The sequence below is a fragment of the Homo sapiens genome, chromosome 16 (genome assembly GCF_000001405.40).
Source record: "Homo sapiens chromosome 16, GRCh38.p14 Primary Assembly".
Classification (NCBI taxonomy): Eukaryota; Metazoa; Chordata; class Mammalia; order Primates; family Hominidae; genus Homo; species Homo sapiens.
Window position 1 is genome coordinate 18,790,843 of NC_000016.10, and position 19,463 is coordinate 18,810,305.

The 19,463-nt window shown below is 40.9% G+C and overlaps 2 protein-coding genes across 16 annotated transcripts in view, besides 3 other annotated features; both read right to left on the reverse strand.

Moving 5' to 3' along the window:
- ARL6IP1 (ARL6 interacting reticulophagy regulator 1) lies at positions 825–10,707 on the reverse strand. Of its 2 annotated transcripts, none has more exons than NM_001313858.1 (6): positions 10,357–10,528; positions 7,859–7,992; positions 7,083–7,202; positions 4,622–4,739; positions 3,757–3,841; positions 825–2,528 (listed from the first exon to the last, which is right to left on the reverse strand). In NM_001313858.1, exons 2-6 carry the CDS (start codon positions 7,939–7,941, stop codon positions 2,410–2,412), a joined length of 525 nt encoding a protein of 174 aa, NP_001300787.1. In that variant the 5' UTR covers positions 7,942–7,992; positions 10,357–10,528; the 3' UTR covers positions 825–2,409. The 2 variants fall into 2 exon arrangements, with proteins under 2 accessions (NP_001300787.1, NP_055976.1); NM_015161.3 differs by lacking the exon at positions 10,357–10,528 and adding an exon at positions 10,589–10,707 and having other exon boundaries at positions 827–2,528.
- Positions 10,211–10,330: an enhancer, noted in NCBI's record as "active region_10519". NCBI's record gives its function as "activates an Ori minimal core promoter by ATAC-STARR-seq in GM12878 lymphoblastoid cells {active_cell/tissue: GM12878}" and the evidence as "EXISTENCE:reporter gene assay evidence [ECO:0000049][PMID:35858748]".
- Positions 10,551–10,630: an enhancer, noted in NCBI's record as "active region_10520". NCBI's record gives its function as "activates an Ori minimal core promoter by ATAC-STARR-seq in GM12878 lymphoblastoid cells {active_cell/tissue: GM12878}" and the evidence as "EXISTENCE:reporter gene assay evidence [ECO:0000049][PMID:35858748]".
- Positions 11,011–11,250: an enhancer, noted in NCBI's record as "active region_10521". NCBI's record gives its function as "activates an Ori minimal core promoter by ATAC-STARR-seq in GM12878 lymphoblastoid cells {active_cell/tissue: GM12878}" and the evidence as "EXISTENCE:reporter gene assay evidence [ECO:0000049][PMID:35858748]".
- Positions 14,018–19,463, reverse strand: part of SMG1 (SMG1 nonsense mediated mRNA decay associated PI3K related kinase) — a 121,549-nt gene continuing 116,103 nt past the window's right edge. For all 14 annotated transcript variants that reach the window (XM_047433796.1, XM_005255184.5, XM_047433793.1 and 11 more), the window contains one exon: positions 14,018–18,804. In XM_047433796.1, the coding sequence (XP_047289752.1) occupies positions 18,727–18,804 (78 nt within the window). In that variant the 3' untranslated portion in view covers positions 14,018–18,726. The remainder of the gene's footprint in view (positions 18,805–19,463) is intronic.

A 19,463-nucleotide genomic window follows, 5' to 3' on the forward strand; every position in this document is an offset into this window, starting at 1 on the left:
CCTTAATTTTTATTTTAGTTTACTTTTGATAAGGAGTCTCGCTCTGTCGCCCAGGCTGGAGTCCAGTGGCGCGATCTTGGCGCACTGCAGCCTCCGCCTCCCGGGTTCAAGCGGTTCTCCTGCCCCAGCCTCCAGAGTACCTGGGATTACAGGCGCCCGCCATCACACCCGGCTAATTTTTGTATTTTTAGTAGAGACGGGGTTTCACCATGTTGGCCAGGCTCGTCTCAAACCCCTGACATCAAGTGATCTGCCCACCTCGGCCTCCCAAAGTGTTGGGATTACAGGCGTGAGCCACCACACCCGGCTAAAAATTTTTTTTTAATTAAAAAGTTAAGTTCAGACAAAAGTCACCCAACAGTTGTTTACTGAGCACCCATGTACCAGACGCTAGCAAGGCCCTGGGGTACGAGGTGCCCACACAGGCACCATTTAGCCAGTTCTGTCCCTGCCGGTTCTTCCAGCTTCGTCCTCTCTCACACGTCAATGCCCCTGCTCATTCGTTGCATTTCCTCTTCCCTCTAGCATGGTACCTGGATATTTGCTAAATAAAACTTAAACCTTTTATTTTTGTTCTTTTTTAAAATTTTTCCTAGACAGGGTCCTGCTCTGTTGCCCAGGCTAGAGTGCAGGGGTACACTCAGCTCAATGCAACCTCAAACTCATGGACTCCAGTGAACCTCCTGCCCAGGTCTCCCAAAGTGGTGGGATTACAGGTAGGGTACCTTATAGACATCTAAGGACCACACAGGGTACTTCATTAATCAGATTCATAAATCCAATCATAAATATTATATTGGCTAAGTTATAAAGAAAGTGAGACATGAAGATTCCAGCTTTTTTTATTTTTTCCCCTTTTACACAAAACAAAGTAGAAGAAATAATACAGGATTAAAACTGCAAAAGTAGTTAATCAGTAGAATATGTATGCACACAAAAAATCCAGATAGGAAGACAGGCTTATTTACAATGAAAGTAAGGTAAAATTAACGTAGTTTTCTTATGAAATAATAAAAAAAAATCAAACATATGCTACAATGGGCACCACTGTTCACAGCAATATTAAAGAGGAGAAAACAACACTTATTTAATAGGGACAGATATACCACAAGGTACAACATCAGTGCAATAAATTCACAAAACTATATTACAGCTAGTTAATCAGTTTAAGAATTGTTCCCGTCAGTCACATTTTTTGGCCCTCAGAAGTTCATTCCTAAAGATTTCAACTACTCTAAATTTCTAGCTACCAAGAAGTTAAGAATGATTATAAGAAGCTTTCCAAGGAGTTATGAAATCTTTGTAGACCAGAGGCCAACTATCATCACCTCAAGTCTGCTCTCACCAACAGCCCTTGTATTTTTCAGGGAGAAATCTCTAGGAAAAAAGTCAGACACCAGTGTAGTCACTATCTCCCATGTCAAACCTAGGGGACTAAAATGGTCAGTATTACCATAAAATGATAATTTTGAGGTTTACCTTAAAAGGCTTATTCTGGTCTCAAAAATTAGATAAGATTATCTTCTACTGAAATGAATATTGACTAAACATAGAAGACTGCTGTCCTTTTGCCAGTCTTAGAGTGAAAGTCATAGACATGAGTCTTAACCTACTGTATACTATAGCTAATGTCAGCTGAAAATCTGAAATTAAAAGCATGCTAGAAATCCTAAATGCAATCTTTTGGAAGTCTGCTATTAAAAAGCCTTTAAGGATTTACTAACTTCGAGTCTAAGTGCAAGGGGACGAAAGCTTAAGCCTGTCAGACATTCCTTTTCTTGGACAAAAAGATCAAAGTTTCCTACAAATTGCTAAGCTTTGCACAAGGGAGAAGCCTACATGTACTAGTGCATGGAATCAGTTTCATCTTATTTCATGGGGACTCTTCTCCCACTGGAAAGAAACAGAATGAGGAATGAATCTTAATTGGTCTCTTCATCAGAAGTGGTAAACTTGGTCTCTATATTCACGAAGTCAGACAGTTTTTTAAGCAGACTGTGGAAGCAGACAGAACCAGCTTCCTGTAGCCACAGACCACTACATGGTATCTAAGCTAAAGCAAAGATGAACAATTATCCAGATTCACTTGAACTGTACTAAAGGGCAAGGTTCACCACTACAAAAAGGAAGTTGTCTAAAAGCAAGAATTCAATTAACGCTGGGTAAGAAAAGTCAAAACACTAATGAGTTGTCCATGAAGCCAACTGCTAAGAACGCGCTCAACTATACGCGACATGAAGACACTATGCACGAAGCCTTACTTGGCGAGTCTGAATTTCTATTAACTAAGGGCAGAGTGAGGGAGAACAAAGAGCTACTTCCGTAACATTTTAGTATCCAGATAGTACAGCAGAAACGGTTCCCGGGGCAATGGGTGCTGCATTAATCACACTGATTAAAGCAGATGAATCATTCGTTTTTCTTTTCTTTTTGTTTGAGAAGTTTGTTTATCTCCCTCTTGGCCATTCCAATGTACTTCAAAATGATTCCATGTTGGTTTAGTCCAGGAAGCAATAGTAAGGAAGTCACTTAAAATAAAAAAAAACCCAACATTAAGGAGGCAGCAATTAACCTGCTAAAGGTTATTACTTTTTTTTTTTTTTTTTGAGACAAAGTTTCACTTTTGTTGCCCAGGCTGGAGTGCAATGGCGCAATCTTGGCTCACCGCAACCTCCGCCTCCCAGGTTCAAGCGATTCTCCTGCCTCAGCTACCCAAGTAGCTGGGATTACAGGCATGCGCCACTACGCCTGACTAATTTTGTATTTTTAGTAGAGATGGGGTTTCTCCATGTTAGTCAGGCTGGTCTCGAACTCCCAATCTCAGGTGATCCGCCTGCTTCAGCCTCCCAGAGTGCTGGGATTACGGGCGTGAGCCACCACACCCAGCGACAAGTCTCACTCTTTTTGCCCAGGCTGGAGTGCAATGGCACAATCTCGGTTCACTGCAACCTCCACCTCCCAGGTTCAAGCGATTCTCCTGCCTCACCCTACCAAGTAGAGTAGCTGGGATTACAGGTGCCTGCCGCCACGCCTGGCTAATTTTTGTATTTTTAGTACACATGTGATTTCGCAATGTTGGCCAGGCGGTCTCCAACTCCTGACCTCAGGTGATCAGAGGTTATTACGTGTGTATGGCGGTGGTGGGTGGGGGGGGTGGTGAGTGCAGTGGTGTGATCTCAGCTCACTGTAACCTCCACCTCCTGGGTTCAGGTGATTCTCATGCCTCAGCCTCCTAGGTAGCTGGGACTACAGGTGTGTACCACCACATCCAACTAATTTTTGTATTTTTAGTAGAGACAGGGTTTCGCCATGTTGGCTAGGCTGGTCTCAAACTCCCGGCCTCAAGTGATCCACCTGCCTCAGCCTCCCAAAGTGCTGGGATTACAGGCTGAGCCACCGTGACCAGCCAGTTATTACATTTTAAAGAAGGCAGGTTCCTACATTATTAAACTCAGTAATGGGAGGAAGCAACATGAAATCAATTACTTCCACTGGGATGTATCCCCAGAAACTTCTGCTCTCATCCCCTCTTCCACCTCAGAAAATAATCATTGCTTATTTTTACCTCTTGCACATTACTTTCTACCTTGGTTATTGCATTGTTTTCACTTTCTATGAGACCATAATAATCTTTCCATATTCCCACAGTTCCTTTTCGGTGTCTAAAACTTAGGAAGTATTCAGCTGTTTACTGACGAAGTTACAGTTAAATTTCACTGGCCAGGATGTGCCTGTAGTTTTTCCTCAAAGACTTACCTATCAGGTAGGTGAGAAGCAGGTTGTGGACTTGTTGTCCCACCCAAGCAACCGCAGCAAGGGAAACGATCATGGTCATGAAGTACTAGCAATGAAAACAAGAATTTAATATCAAAACTTCATGTGACACCATAAATATATGTAATTTTTATTTGTCAATTAAAGAAGAATGTGTTTCAAAGTTCGGGAAATAATTTAGCTTTTATTATCACTTTTCTTTAAAAATTCTTAGATTTAAAAACCTATTCCATTGGATCTACTTTATAGAATTTGGATACATTTCTTCCTAGAATTACTGCAATTCTGTATGTAAATATTTTATGATATAAATTATACGATCTTTTCAGTTAATAACTTCACGGAACAGCCTCACGACGTGAAGCTTACAGATAAGAGAACAGATGAACAGATGCTTTCCTTTTTTTTTTTTTTTTTTGAGACAGAGTCTCATTCTGTCACAAAGGCTGGAGTGCAGTGGTGCAAACAGCTCACTGCGCAAACACAGCTCACTGCAGCCTCGACCTCCAGGGCTCAAGTGATCCTCAGCCTTCCATGTAGCTGGGATTATAGGCATTAGCCACTGTGCCCGGCCTAAACAGATGCTTTCTAAGTATATGTCTTTTACTATTATTTCAGTAAGAAAAATGAAACAGAAGAATTTTGTTTTATTAGAATAAAAAATTAAATGCAAAAATGTAATTTTTAACTTTAAAATGATTCAGTCTAATTAATACAGGTAAACATTTATGAATGTACTTAGGAATTAACCAATGAATAATTTTCAAATTATAGCTATTAAGACAAAAAGGCGAATTGACTCAAATCTTAAAATTTTACTGTACTTAAGTCAAAGCAAAAAAAGTACCATCTTAGGTTTTTCTTCCTTTAGTGTGAAGAGGCGTTTCCACCAACCCACAGCTCTGCGTCGAGTTTTTACTAGATTGCTGCAAATTTCATGGAATCTTTGCTGTTGTTCAGTGGTCCTAGAAAAGAAATTTGCCTTTTGCTATAAACAAATCGTTACAGTAGACAAAAACATGACACCCTGTTCAATTTAAGAGCTATCTTCTAAAGAAAATAAAAATAAAAACAATGTTTCACCATTATCTTATGTAGGTGAAAAAATCCTTCCACCATTAAGACACCTTTTATAGCACAGGAGTAAGTATTTACATAAACTATGTGTGTGAGAGAGAGAGTGTGTGTGTGTGTGCGTGTGATAAAGAAAGGATCATCTCTGGCTCTGAAGCCACATTTATTTAATGGTAGTAAAAGACTCATGACTTCTATGGGCCATAAAGAAATCAGTATAAATTTGATTTTGCTATTCCTAAATATTCTTTAGATCCTAGTAAATGCTGCACTATACCTACCAGAATCCCACCGAACAACTGTATTTGAACACTCCTTAGTAAGATACTAACTACTGGCATTTAACACATAACACCCCCAACTGGGCTTCATACATCTGATGACAAGGCAGCAATAAACAGCTCAAATCTAAATTCTTCTTTGTAAATTTATCCCTAGGGAGGGAAAATATAATCAACAAACAACACAGCAGTAAAAATCCAACAAGAGACCCTCCAAGAAAACCTTTTATATTTATAATGTTTTTCTTGGTTCTGATTTTTTTAATTGCCTTTGCACTGTCTTCGCTACACAGCTATAATGGCTGCTATTATTGCCCTGTGCTGAGGGATGTGTTGCCTTCTCTTCTCTAGCCCTCATCTCTGTAAAACTGCAGTGATAGATAAAGTACAAGGATTTCTGCTGAGCCCTGGAACTTCTTTTCAACAATGAGATGTTATTTCTTGCCCATGGTCAAGGCTAGATTGTGGCTATGCAAAAGAGTATTCTTTCTTCCTTGTAAGATCAAAAAATAAACAAAATCTGCTCTATCAATAACTGAGTCACATCACGAAACTATCAGTGGTTATTTCTGCAAACTTTCCTCTAGGAGTTATAAATTAGCAGACTGGAATGTTATCTGGCTAATAAGGCCAAGGTCAGTGATTTATTTCCTTTGCTAACTCTGTTATACTGCACATTCAGAAACTTGCCCAAAAGAGCCAACAACATTGATTCATTACTGCAAGTGAAAAACAATTTGGACAGTTCCTAACACTAATCCATTCTGCTGTTGGGGGAAACACCTTTAAATATTGTCAATTATATCATAATTTAAGCAAACTTTGAATTTGTTCTTAAAGATCCATAAGGTACACATTTAAAATTCTTATATTTACAGAATTATTTTGCAATTTGCTATCCTCTGAGATACAAACAACCAAAGGCACAAGTAGAATACTAACCAAATAAAATAAACAGCCAAGGATAGAATAGCAGCTGAGAAGAAAATATCTATTCCAACTTCTATTTTGGCTGATTATTTGAATCAAAACTCAACATGCTAGAGAAAGTTAAAATACTTTTAATATGATCCTTATCCACTTAACTATATCTGAGGAGTTCATAAGCAACCTCATGGTATAAATAGGCCGGGCACGGTGGCTCACGCCTGTAATCTCAGCACTTTGGGAGGCCGAGGCGGGCGGATCACAAGGTCAGGAGATCGAGACCATCCTGGCTAACATGGTGAAACCCCGTCTCTACTAAAAATAAAAAAAAAAAAAATTAGCCAGGTGTGGTGGTGGGCACCTGTAGTCCCAGCTACTCGGGAGGCTGAGGCAAGAGAATGGCATGAACCTGGGAGGTGGAGCATGCAGTGAGCCAAGAGCGTACTGCACTCCAGCCTGGGCAACAGAGCGAGCCTCCATCTCAAAAAAAAAAAAAAAAAAGAGAATGGTATAAATAAAATCAGCAACCCATGTGTATACAGCTTGAACCTCTTCGGAAACACTTGGTATTCACTTTGTTAACTGCCATTCCACTGCCTCAGTGTCTCAGTATCTCAGCCTTAACACAAGATCAATCTTAAAAGTCAAAATATTTCACAGTACTTTACAGGGCCTGCCACAGTAGGCATTTAATAAATAATTGCTAAATGAATGTGAATGAAAATCTGCCAGTTTCCTTTTCTGTATTCATTCAAAAATAATTTGTGAAGTTATTATACTATCCTAAATATCAATGGAAATGTAAAAATGTATATGTGCATTTACCATAAAAGAACTATGGAGTACAGAAAATTCATAGTTTATATTCAAATCAGTTACAATATTCTTCACATAAAAGCAATAAATCTAATGCTTAGGTGTCTGATGGTTAGACAATTATCTCTGCTTATTTACAGCATACTAATCACAGCCACCAAGTTCAGTAACTACACAAAAATGAGACTGCCAAATCATTATGCTACCTACCATTTATTGGAGCCAAAAATTCTAGGCGCTAGAATGGGAACAAGGTAGTCAGCCAAGCACAAAAACATAACAAAACAGGAAACGCCGGACAGAACAGATGGATCTAGATAGTAGATAATCCTGTTAAAAAAATTAATAAAGGTTAGAAAAACATAGTCATTATTATTCCTAACTAAACATGTCTAACTTAACTATTCACTTAACTATTCACCGCCTCTCAGAGATATTTGCCATTTTTCTTCTAATTTTCTCACAAGTGGCTTTCCAGAGGCTTTGTGACATGCTGATATCATAGCTGCAGTGGTTAAGTATATATCAATGGACAAAAGCTCTTTGGAGTTCTCAGCACTTTTTTAAGAGTTTAGGGAGGTGGGGGACTAGGGGAGGGATAGCATTAGGAGAAATACCTAATGTAGATGAAGGGTTGATGGGTGCAGCAAACCACCATGGCACATGTATATATACCTATGTAACAAACCTGTACATTCTACACATGTTTCCCAGAACTTAAAGTATAATAACAAAAAAAGAGTTTAAGTGTCTGGAGGACAAAAAGTTTGCGAGTCACTGATTTACTCAAGTGCTTTAGGTTACCAAGTTTACAGAAGTACTACAAATTCTGGAAACTAGAAGTGCTTATGAGAAACATTCTTTATGGGTTCTTTATGGGTTATATATTACAGAAGACTTAAGGCACTCCCACAAACAGAAGCTATATATTAAAAAGTCTTTATTAATAAGAAGCACAACCCATAGTAATCTAATAGCTCACTTACAGAAACACCAAAGAAACCACACCCATGATGGCAGGTGGAAACCAGGCTCTTTCCCATCGGAGGACTTTATCAGCCATCAGCATCACTTCTCCCCATCCTTGCAGCTGTTCTTCCAGACTTGCAGTCTCTGCAGCCTAAATACCACCGACATTTAAAGTGATCATTTTACCACTCTCAACATTTTTGTGGTTCATAGACTTCAATTATTTTAAAGCTCCAAATACAAAAAATAACCTCTTAACCAAATTGCCAATTTTAAACTAGTTGGTTTCTGAAAAACTGCAATTTCAAAGATGAAAATACAATGGGTTTTTTTGTTTTTTGTGTTTTTTTTTTTGAGACGGAGTCTCGCTCTGTCACCCAGGCTGGAGTGCAGTGGGGAGATCTCGGCTCACTGCAGCCTCCGCCTCCTGGGTTCAAGCGATTCTCCTACCTCATACTCCTGAGTAGTTGGGACTATAGGCGCCCGCCACCACGCCCGACTAATTTTTTGTAGAGACAGGGTTTCACCATGTTGGCCAGGCTGGTCTCAAACTCTGGACCTCAAGTGATCCACTCACCTCGTCTTCCCAAAGTGCTGGGATTACAGGTGTGAGCCACCAGGCCCAGCCTAAATATCCTTTAATGGTCACTTTTCTAGTCCAAGCACTGGGCTATTCTTTATATACATGATGTAACTTAATCCTTACAGAGAGCCACAAGGTAGGGATAATTAGACTCAATTTACAATTAAAGAAAGTGAGCTCAAAATGGTTTACTTTCTCAAAGTCATGCGGGGAATCGTGGCAGTGCCCAGAGTATTAATAAAATGAAATAACTTTTTTTAAGTTTGTTTATTTCAGATGGTTAGAATTGATCCGTTGTTTTTGTCATCTTATTGATTTAAACCCTTCTAAATCCATTAGGAAAGACTTTCCCTGAATAGCATTCAATTTCTAAAATAGCTCTTTGTGTAATGGAATCACTCAGATGTTGACATTCATTGGACAATTAAGGAAAACTACTTTCACCAAATTAAGGTGGCATTTTACGGTCAATATACCTCCTCAATACAGTGTTTCTTACCACTCAGGATGTCATTTTGATTATACTTCAAATTTCTCTGACTCTGAACAGCCGAAAGTGGGCCTCTAGGATGAGCTAATGTGGCAAAAGCCCTTAAAGCTGGTTTTGGTAAAGGAAGAAAAATTTAGAATAAGAAACTCAAGTGTCTCTATGTTATCAGGCTGGATGCAGTGGATCACGCCTGTAAACCCAGCACTTGGCGGGTCGGGGGGGATTGCTTGAGCCCAGGAGATCGGGACCAGCCTGGGCTGAGACCTTGTCTCTTTGTAAAAGTCATTCACTGGAAATCATGCAAATGACAGAACAAGGCACTTAATCTTAACAAAGACGCTCGCTATCTGTGCCACGCTGAGCACTAGTGTGATCTCAATATTTCTGACTTTATATTCCATGCTTAATACTAGTGAAAGAGACTACTATGTGTGGGCACTCTGCTGAGCATTCATATTTATACTTCAATTAATCTTCCTAACAACCCTTAAAAAAAGGTGTTATTACTGTCCCCATTTTACCAAGGAGGAAACAGATACAGAGGTTAACTGATCTGCATCCAAGAAATCCACGACCAAAGGCGTTGCTTTCCTTAGAGTTATATTGCTCTGCTGGAAGGAGAGTTGGGAAGCAGGAGCTCTAGCCCAGGATTTGTCATTTCAACAGGGCTTGAGCTACTTCTCTGTGCTTCAATTAATCCTCTTAAAAAGATCCACGCTGAGAACTAACTATGCTAGAAGGAGCGTGTGTTTAAAGGAACAAACCATGCATTTCTAAAAGCAAATATAAAATCACGCACAATCAAAACTGCCCTGAAGTCACGTCATTGGCCAGCGTCTGGGGTCTTGGAAGTTCAAAAGCCCCTAAGTAAATTCTTTGGTTCCGTTTTTCATTGCTGGTATGTGACCTACAGTCACCAGGGAAGGGCAACTGAGAATATGCAAGGATATTTCTCTTGTTTTTTGCCCACAAGGTGCGCTTAAATTCATAACAAATAAAAATGTGTCCGCCTATGATACCATCTCACTGCAGTTCCTTCGGATCCCTGCTTATTACTCTAAAGCTGTTTCCAGTAGTCCTGTGACCCCACCCCCGCCAGACTTCCAAATTCCAGACAAACGCCAAGACATCCCATTGTCTGTTCAGCTGGACCCCGCTCCCGGTTCCCCACGGTGAGCTCGCAGCCTCCCTGTCGTTTTAAGTTGTACCAGCTCTAAGATAAATTCTGGGCAGTAGCCCTTTGACCCTCCACCCTTGTCCAAGTTTTAGGGGGAAAAGAAGGCAGGCACATCCAGGTTAAGATCAAAGACGGGGAAAGCCGAATACGGCTGGGGCCTGAGCCGCGAAAGCGCTGGACAGGCCCCAGGAGGCCTTCTGCCCCCACCCGCACCCCAGGCTAGTGTCGCAGCCCCTCTGCCTCCCACTTCCTCCTCGACTCCTACTCGCGGTGATGAATCACGCGCCCTCCTCGCCCCGTCGCGCACCGTCCCCAGGAAAGGTAAGGGTTCGACACCCAGGAGTCACCCAAGAAGCCCGAGGGCCAGGCATCGTCGCCTGCCCAGGGAGAGAAGGGCCGGGCCCGCGGCGGGTGACAGGGACGAGGCCGCGGTGTTTGAGCCCACGGACGTCTGGAGGCCTCGCTCGGCTCCCGGGGGACAGGCAGCCAGGACTCACCAGCAGGTTGGTGCTGCGATTATCTCCCTCCGCCATCGTCTCGGGGATGCAGTCTCTACAAGCGCAGGCCACCTCCCCAACGAGTCCTCCAACCGAAACCCGCACACCAACCACAACCCGAGGGAACGCCCCGCAGGCTGCTTATATGGGTCGGCCGCCCTTCCCGACGGCCCCCGCGACGCTCGCTCCTCATTGGACAGACCGAGCTTACGCCTCAAGGAAGCCGGGCCAACCGAAGCTCAGCGCATGGCTTGAAATCGAGGTCAAAGGAGACAGAGGCAGCGCCGGGCCGAGGGGGAGGGGACACGGAGTGCCCAATCAGCGCCCAGGGACTGCGCGACGCCCCGCCCAGCGCTGTGGGAAGCGGTTCAACCGCCTCTGCAGGGGGCGCTGTCCCTCAGTGGTTCTCCGGCTCTTGCCGCTGCGGTGGCTTTGGGTCCCTCTTCGTCTGGCTTTCGCAGCCGAGGAGACTCTCTGGAAAATGGGCTACTCGAAGAGAGATGCTCCGTTGCCTCAGGCGGAGGGCGGGGACGCCGGGCCTGCGACACTTCATCTTTTCCTGGCCCCGAGGTGGCTGGGATCCGTTCCACCTTCGGCCCAGTTCCCCAGCCAGGCCCCTGAGCCGTTTAGCCCGGATTTGCGACCCGTGAGGTTTTGAGGACAAGTGAAAAGAGCTCTTTGTGTGGATTTTGCTGCAATGTTTCTCTCCTACCCAGTAGGAATGAGGCCTTAGCTTGCGCGGAAAAACCCAGGCCTGGTTTGAGAACGTGTGAAAATGCACCGCCTTCTAAGTGGCTTTATTATACGTGGATGTTTAAGTTACTTAAACTACAAGCTCCCTCTCCAAAAGGATTCTTTTTTTTTTTTTCTTTTTTTTTGAGACGGAGTCTCGCTATGTTGCCCAGCCTGGAGTGCAGTGGCGCGATCTTGCTCACTGCAAGCTCTGCCTCCCGGGTTCACGCCATTGTCCTGCCTCAGCCTTCCAAGTAGCTGGGACTACAGGCGTCCGCCAACACGCCTGGCTAATTTTTTGTATTTTTAGTAGAGACGTAGTTTCACCGTGTTAGGATGGTCTCGATCTCCTGACCTCGTGATCCGCCCGCCTCGGCCTCCCAAAGTGCTAGGATTACAGGCGTGAGCCACCGCGCCCGGCCAGAATTGTTTGTTTGTTTGTTTGAGACGAAGGAGTCTCGCGCTCCGTGGCCCCGGCTGAAGTGCAGTGGCGCGATCTCTGCTCACTGTAACCTCCATCTCCCGGGTTCAAGTGATCCTGGCGCGTCAGCCTCCCGAGTAGCTGGAATTACAGACGCCCGTCACTACGCCCGGCTAATTTTTGTATTTTAATAGAGACGGGGTTTCGCTATTTTGGCCAGGGTGGTCTGGACCTCCTGACCTCAAGATATCCGCCCGCCTTAGCCTGCCAAAGTGCTGGGATTACAGGCGTGAGCTACCGCGCCCGGCCAAAAGGATAGTTCTTGACACGACCTTTCTTCCATTAGAGGTCAAGCTAAGAAAATATGTAAACCCTCTCACAAGCAGTAGAATTCCTAGGCAGTTTAGGAACTGTGTTGAGGCACTTGTACATCTTTTCTATCCAGGATTTCAAATGCAGTAACAAGTGCTTTGATCTTTTTTTTTTTTTTTTTTTTTTTTTTTTCTTTTTTTCTTGAGACACAGCCTGGCTCTGTTGCCCAGGCTGTAGTGCAGTAGCCACCGCGCCCGGCCGATTTTTCATCGTTTGATACAAACAGAATCATGCCAAATGTCCGGATCAGATGTTTGTTTCAGGTGAATTAACTATAGTTTTAACTTCCAACCTTTTATCTTTTTTACAGGTTTTAACTTCCAATCTCATGGTCATTTGTATTCGGCCATTGAATTTAAATTTATTTTTAAAATGTTCCTTAAGTAACCACCAGGTTCTTAAATGTTCAAGGAAGTCATAAATGTGAGAGAACATAGCTGCAGACCACATACTGCCCCTAAGAGAGCTGGGCAAGGGCAGGAGCATTGTGAATTTCATGGAAGGGTGTCAATTTGCTGTGGGTCTTTCGGGGAAAGGGGAGTGAAGTATCTGAATCAGGGAGAAGCACTTGAAAAAAAGTCTTTGCAAGGGAAGCTGACTGTTCAATAAAGTGCCACTTTGGAGAATGTTGGGGTAAAGAAGTTGTAAAGGCAGGATACAGCCAGTTGACAGAGACGCTATTTGGAGAGATTTTAAAGCTATGGAGTCTGAGGAGCAGGTTCTTCTCCACGCCCCTAAAAAAAAAAAAATACAAATGGGGAGGCAGGGAAGATCCCTTGAGCCCAGGAAATAGAGGCTGCAGTGAGCTATGATTGCACCTATGCACTTAAGCTTGGGTGACAGAGCAAAAAACCTGTCTCAAAAAAAAAAAAAAAAAAAAAAGTCAAAAAGATCGAAGCAATCAGCAGCCACATAATTAGTGAATATGTTGAGCACTGGGTATGTGATCTTGCTAGACCCACAGTAATAGCCACTTCCAAAAGAGAGGGTATTTTATTAGGGTTTAAAACTGACATTTCTACTTTTGGGAAATCAGCTTTTGCTGCAGAATATGCTTCTTGTTTTCACCCAAGTTTTCCATGCACAACTTAAGACTTGTTAACACCAGCTTGTGAAATGAAGGTAGGTGAAAAAAACAGAAGCAACTGAAACAGCAGTTTCTCCACTTAGTATTTTTTGTTACTTAACAATGTATTCCCATACCTATTTCTAAATGCACAGCCCTGCTATATGGTCTCTCACTAAATTTCCGATTGGTCTAATTATTAAAAAACACCCACCCTTAACATAGCTTTCTTTAGAGCTTTGTTTTTGTCCTACAGAGACAGGATGTGATCTTTTGAAATGTGCCAGATGACTAAGCAGTTAACACAAATCTTACTAACTTCATTTAGCAGCAACAAATGCAATCTCCAAGATATAAAGCCAAGCTGGACATTTTCTATTTTTTTTCAGAGGTTTCACACTCCAAGGAATGCACCTATCTGTCAATAATGATCTACGGGAATTTTGTTTTTAAATACTGCCAAAATTAAGCTTTATAAATTGGGCCTTAACACAAAGAATTTTATCGTTGAAGTAGAATTTCTACTGCTATTCAAAAATACAACAGATGTTTGAGAATAAAATAGTTACTTTTCTGAGAATTTAGGGGTCTTTTTTGAGGTATTAGTGCTATTCAGAAAAAAAAGACTAGGCTTGGCTCGGCTTAGTGGCTCAGGCTTGTAATCCCAGCACTTTGGGAGGCTGAAGTGGGAGTGTAACTTGAGCCCAGGAGTTCGAGATCAGCCTGGGCAACATAGGGAGACCCTGTCGTTTTGTTTTTTCAAGCTACCCAGGTTCCAAAAGGTTTCAAGTTTTCCAAAATCTATTTTGACCAATAAATTCAGAACTTAAATGCTGTATCTTTTGAGACTGAACCTTTATTTTCTGAAAAACAGGTATTTCATACAATCTTTGCCATGTTAATGCAAATATGCACAAAGTAGGCATGTATTTGTTTTCCAAAAGATGCATTATGAACATTTTCAGGAAGCTGGTGTGATTTATTCAACTTTTAAATACAATCACAAAATTATATCCATCAGGAGGCATTACAACCTTTTGTACAGAAAAGCCACTATTTATACATTGTTACTAAGACAAGGAAGATTCAGTTCAACTCAACTTGCTCTTAGAATAAGGGTAAAAAGTAAATTAACAAGTAAGTGAAGTATGATGTTGTTGCCACTGACATTACAGGTGGAAATATAAGGGAAATTTAAACCAGAAAAATGACACAATAACTTTAAAGAGGAGCTGAAACTTTGTCAAAAAAAGAAAAAACTATTAGCCTGTTTTCAAAGAAAAACATTCTAAAAGTGTGCATTTCAGAACATAGAATTCTTCTAAGTTTACCATCTTCAAAAATCTTCTAAATTGTATGACACTTTTACATTAGCACAACAAACAGCTTTTTCTAAGTCTAGCCAAGTTCCCATGGAAGGCAAACGACCCTAAGTAGTTCATATTTTACAGCCCTTGAACTTATAAAGCTTTTCTCATTAAGAGTCAGTTTTACCCTTCTGTAAATAAGGATGGTGATACTGTTATCCAGGCCTAAAAAGCAGGAAGTGCAACAAACCCTTAGGGTTTCATGATACAGTGAATTTTCCCCTCCCCAACGTTTGGAAAAAATTGGGACACTTGCTAGTTCTTCCCTGTGGGAAGAATCTTTCTAATATTACCCAAATATTGAAAACAAAATCTACCTTCTTTAACCCTTGTATTAGTAATTCTACCTCCTTGGCTTATGGGGGGAAAAGTCCTAGTTTTAAATTGCTGGCATTTTACAAGCTCAACAAGATAAAAAATTGAACACTGGTTTTCATACTCTAATTTTATGTAAAACAAAGATGCTTAAATGTGCGAATAGTAAAGCATTCACTGATATTTGATGTATCTGAATAGGACTAACAGGCTAATTGTAGGTGCTTTCATATGAAAATAATTGGGAGAAAAGAAGAACCAGCTCCTTTGATTTCAGTACTGCCAAAACAAGTAAGCCCCCAGAGTTAATTACAAAAATGTAGAGGAAAATAGGCCCGGAAGACTTTGCAATTTAAAGTACTGCCTATAATACCCCAGATTAAAAAGGACCGAAGATTGCACATCAAGTCTAATATTTGGCTGTACTTGCATTGCCCTGCTCGGCATTTTTAAAAAATGGCTCTTTCCTTAAATTTCACACGTCAGAACAACCACAATTAAAAAAACAAAAAACAATGCAGATAACACCAAACATTGGACAATATTAAGAAAACTACTTACTAAGCTTAGGTAATAGAGGCAAGGGTTAAGGGCAGAAGTGATGGAAGTGTTTCTTTGTATTACAAACCCTCACCCTAAACCTGGGGTTTGGGCTCTAAAAAAGTAATTTAGGGAAGCAGATCAAGAGCCTGATTATCAGTTCTCACATGGAAATCTCAACAGATTTCAAAAGCAACTCACCACAAGTGTCAGACACAAAAGAATCTTAATAATCATCTAGCAAACTACACTAAGAACTCAATGACCAAAAATAATCAATCAAACTTCAAGACACACCAAAGCAACAGTAAAAGAGAAATAACTACACAAGCTAAGCTCTGTAGAGAAATCAACTAAAAATTAGGCAATTCTAGTAAATTAAAGACAGCAAAAAACTTAAGATTGAACTTCAATTTCCAAGGGTACTTTGAAGAGGTTGTTTGTAGGTTATTCTGTACCCCCTGATTCTTAAAGAAAGTGGAGGAGAGGGGGAGGCGACAGAGGAATGGAGGGAAAGGGGGAGGCAAGAGAGAGAAACAGGAGAGGATCCCTGGTTTTCCACAGGTATTTTATCAAAAATGTATGACTTCATAACTACAGCACTCTAACTTTTCTCAGTCTAACTGCTGAGGTCTCTTACGAAAGTTCAAATGGCAAGTCACCTTGTAGAATGACTTAACAGAGGAAGCCAAACTATACAGACCAGGGCCTTGTCCAGAGTGCAGTAAGGAGCAGGCTTTTGAAGTCATCTATTACATCTGCCTTACAACCAAACCCACTGTGTATGCCACATTATTCTTGGAGGGACCACTTTAAAACAAAAGTGATGGATAATTTACCAGAGGCACATGCTTTTGAAGTAAAGCTGTTTTTTGTTTTTGCTTGAGTAAGGTGCCAGGTACCTCTGAAGCCTGAAAACACAGGCAATAAAATTCACCTATTTATCTTCTTTACCAAAGAGAAAGCAATTTCTGAATACTATCTATAGTGCTAAACTAATGTGAACTGACTATCATTGCGATAAAAGTTTTTCCTTATGATGACAATAAAGAATGTTGCTGAAAGACTTTAATCTTGAGAGAGCAGAGGTAATGTGATGAATGTAATTTGCTCCCAGAGCCTCTAGAAAATAAAGCAGTGTGCAAAATACAATATGGCATTATTATTCCAGCTAGGTTTTTTGCGAAAATAAGGTTCCAAATGAATGAAGAAAACAAAATTTGATGCGCTAGGTTCCTTAACTTGCTATTGGACACATGGGTATTTCAAAAAAATCCACCGTGCCTACAATACTTGTTAAAGTACCAAAAAAGCACTGATACTGAAACACATTCTTTCATGGGTACTTAACGATTACAGATTAACGTGGCAATCAGAATACAAAAAAGGCCCAGAGCTATGTGGAATTTTTTCCTTAATACCTTTCAAGTTTGTCTGTGAAGACGGCAACTAGAAAGTGACCACTGTCCTAATCTCTAAAATGCAGGGAAAATGTACTCAAACAATTTTTTTTTTTATCTAGTCATTTATTTTTGACACAGAGTCTAGCTCTGTTGCCCAGGCTGGAGTGCAGTGGCACAATCTCGGCTCACTGCAAGCTCCGCCTCCTGGGTTCACGCCATTCTCCTGCCTCAGCCTCCCGAGTAGCTGGGACTACAGGCGCCCGCCACCACGCCCGGCTAATTTTTTTTGTATTTTTAGTAAAGACGGGGTTTCACCGTGTTAGCCAGGATGGTCTCGCTCTCCTAACCTCATGATCCGCCCGCCTCGGCCTCCCAAAGTGCTGGGATTACAGGCGTGAGCCACTGTGCCCAGCCAACAATTAAGATTTTAATTGTGTTCTATTTTGTATTGATACTTGATTTTAAGAACCCTATTCTAGTCTGGGTTTTTATTTTGGATCAGCAATTTAGCTTACACAGTCAGTACTGAAATGCAATGCTAAATTTAAGGAAACCTTGATCATGAATTCACTATAATGTATTACTGAATAGCAAGCTATTAAAATTGTGCAAAAAGTAAAGCACTTCACAGACTAATAACTGAACTTAATAAAAGATGTTGGTGGATCTCATTTTCACTGTTTCATGTACATGTCCTAAAATGCCAAGTAAATTAAACAACTTTTAATTTACTAAGTGTAAATTAAAAGTATCAAATGAAAAACATGAATTAAAAAAATTTCAGTCTACCTCCACCAGAACATCACTTTATTGTTAATCTATCATCAACAATGTAAAACTCTAATAGATACTCTATCTTGGTTTTTAAAAAGGTAAAAGATTACACTGGATTAGCTACTTTCTATGAAAGAAACTACAGCTATCACAGAAGAGGGAAAATTTGAATGACCTCCAAAAAAAATGCACACTATAAGCAAAAGGGAGTGTACATTAAATCAAATGTCTGTTAGATTCATTACTTTTGAATGCACAGTGACAATTCTGGAAACTGTACATGATAGAATCACAGAAATGACTTAAATAACCGGAATTACATTTTGTGTGTGATCATCAGACCTTTAAACAATCCTTGAATTTTCCATGTTATCAGAAGTTGTTAACAGCATCGAGACGGAAGTATATGAAATATAAGGACTGAAATAAAAGTGAATTTGAAAGATGGCTAATCTACTAGATTAGGTAAAGGGGGAACGGGTAAGTGGTGGGGAGGAGTAGGGAACGATGGGGTGGTTTTTTTCCCTTCATTTCAGAAGTAAGTTCTTCTACTGTAGTGTATCTGTTACATAGCTCTCCATTTTCAGTCCATTTCTGAAATTCATATCGCATAGCCTTTAGCCTTTTTCTACTTACTGGTCAACCCAACCAGTACTGTTGCCAAGCAACAAGTGTTACACGAGAATCTGAATGCATCAAATCTTCCTTGGCTGTGATTTCTTCGCGACCCCAGTTTTCTCTGTTTCTGAGTGGGGTTTGTTTTTTTCCTGGATTGTACACACAGGGTCAGGTGGAATGGAGTTCCAAATCACTCTGTGCTCCGCGGCATCCCGATTTCTTTCCGCAGCTAACCTCCCGACACGTCTGCTGCTGTTCTGTGGCAGAAAGACAATCTCCGTGTTCAGGCGGTGAGCTTGCTTTCCTTCACCCTTGACCCTGGGGTTGCAGGCCATGGTGTTGGGCGTATCCCTGAGTGCAGCTGTCCTGCGGGATTCACTTCCTAGTGCACCGAGATTTCCTAGGTTTCCTCAGAGTAAGCCCCCAGTTGCATCACCACCGACTGTGGTGTGGCTTTGGATGCCTGAGGCTGAGTTGATTCTGGTGGATGTCTGACCTCGCTTAACCAGACTCATCTACTGTCTTGCCATTCACACCCAGGCTGTCCAACCTTCATACAGCTGAGCCAAGTTATCTAGATTAGTTGCTTCCTTAATGACATAGTCAACCTGTAAAAATAGGCAGGATAGTATGTAAAGTCATTTAAAGCTTTTCAATTGTCTGCTGAATTACAATCAGCAGACAAATTATGCCAAAAGTTAAGTGCAAAGGACTCTATACTTACCCTGCTCCTGTAAGCCCCTTAATTTTCATATAAAATGTAATAACTATCAGAATAAAAAGCACAATAACCAAGTATACTTTAAAAAGAGAGCTAAGACAGTTATAAAGATATGAAAAGCACACAATCCATTAACCTACCAGAACGTTTCTTAAGTAAAAATATCCCAAACTCAGAAAATCTCTCATGGTTTTTGACAAACTTGACAAAACGGTTTCTTAAAAAAAAAAAAATTCTTGCCCAAGAAGAGTTCAAGTCTAGGTCCTATACAAGAATATAATAGTGTTTAAAAGAAAAAAAAAATTCCTTGCTGATGTTAAAATTGAATTACGGATGCCAAACCATGGAAGAACAGGATATTCAGTCTCTTAATTTTTATCCCACAGGAAAAAAATGTACATTTATAATGAAGACATCAAGAGGATACCTCTCTTGACCAAATGATCTAGCTTATCACCACCAAAGATGGCACAAACTGACATGTGTCTCTTGATGTAAAATACTGAGAAAGAAACATCACTGATGTTGCATTCCTTCCAAAAAAAA

Bases quoted from the DNA above. Each gene is read 5' to 3' on its own strand.
- ARL6IP1 (NM_015161.3), bottom strand. From the start codon at position 10,624: ATGGCGGAGGGAGATAATCGCAGCACCAACCTGCTG. The intron at 7,993-10,588 runs GTGAGTCCTGGC...GGTGGTATTTAG, and splicing joins ATCGCAGCACCAACCTGCTG to GCTGCAGAGACTGCAAGTCT. The intron at 7,203-7,858 runs GTAAGTGAGCTA...TTTTTTTAACAG, and splicing joins GTGGTTTCTTTGGTGTTTCT to GATTATCTACTATCTAGATC.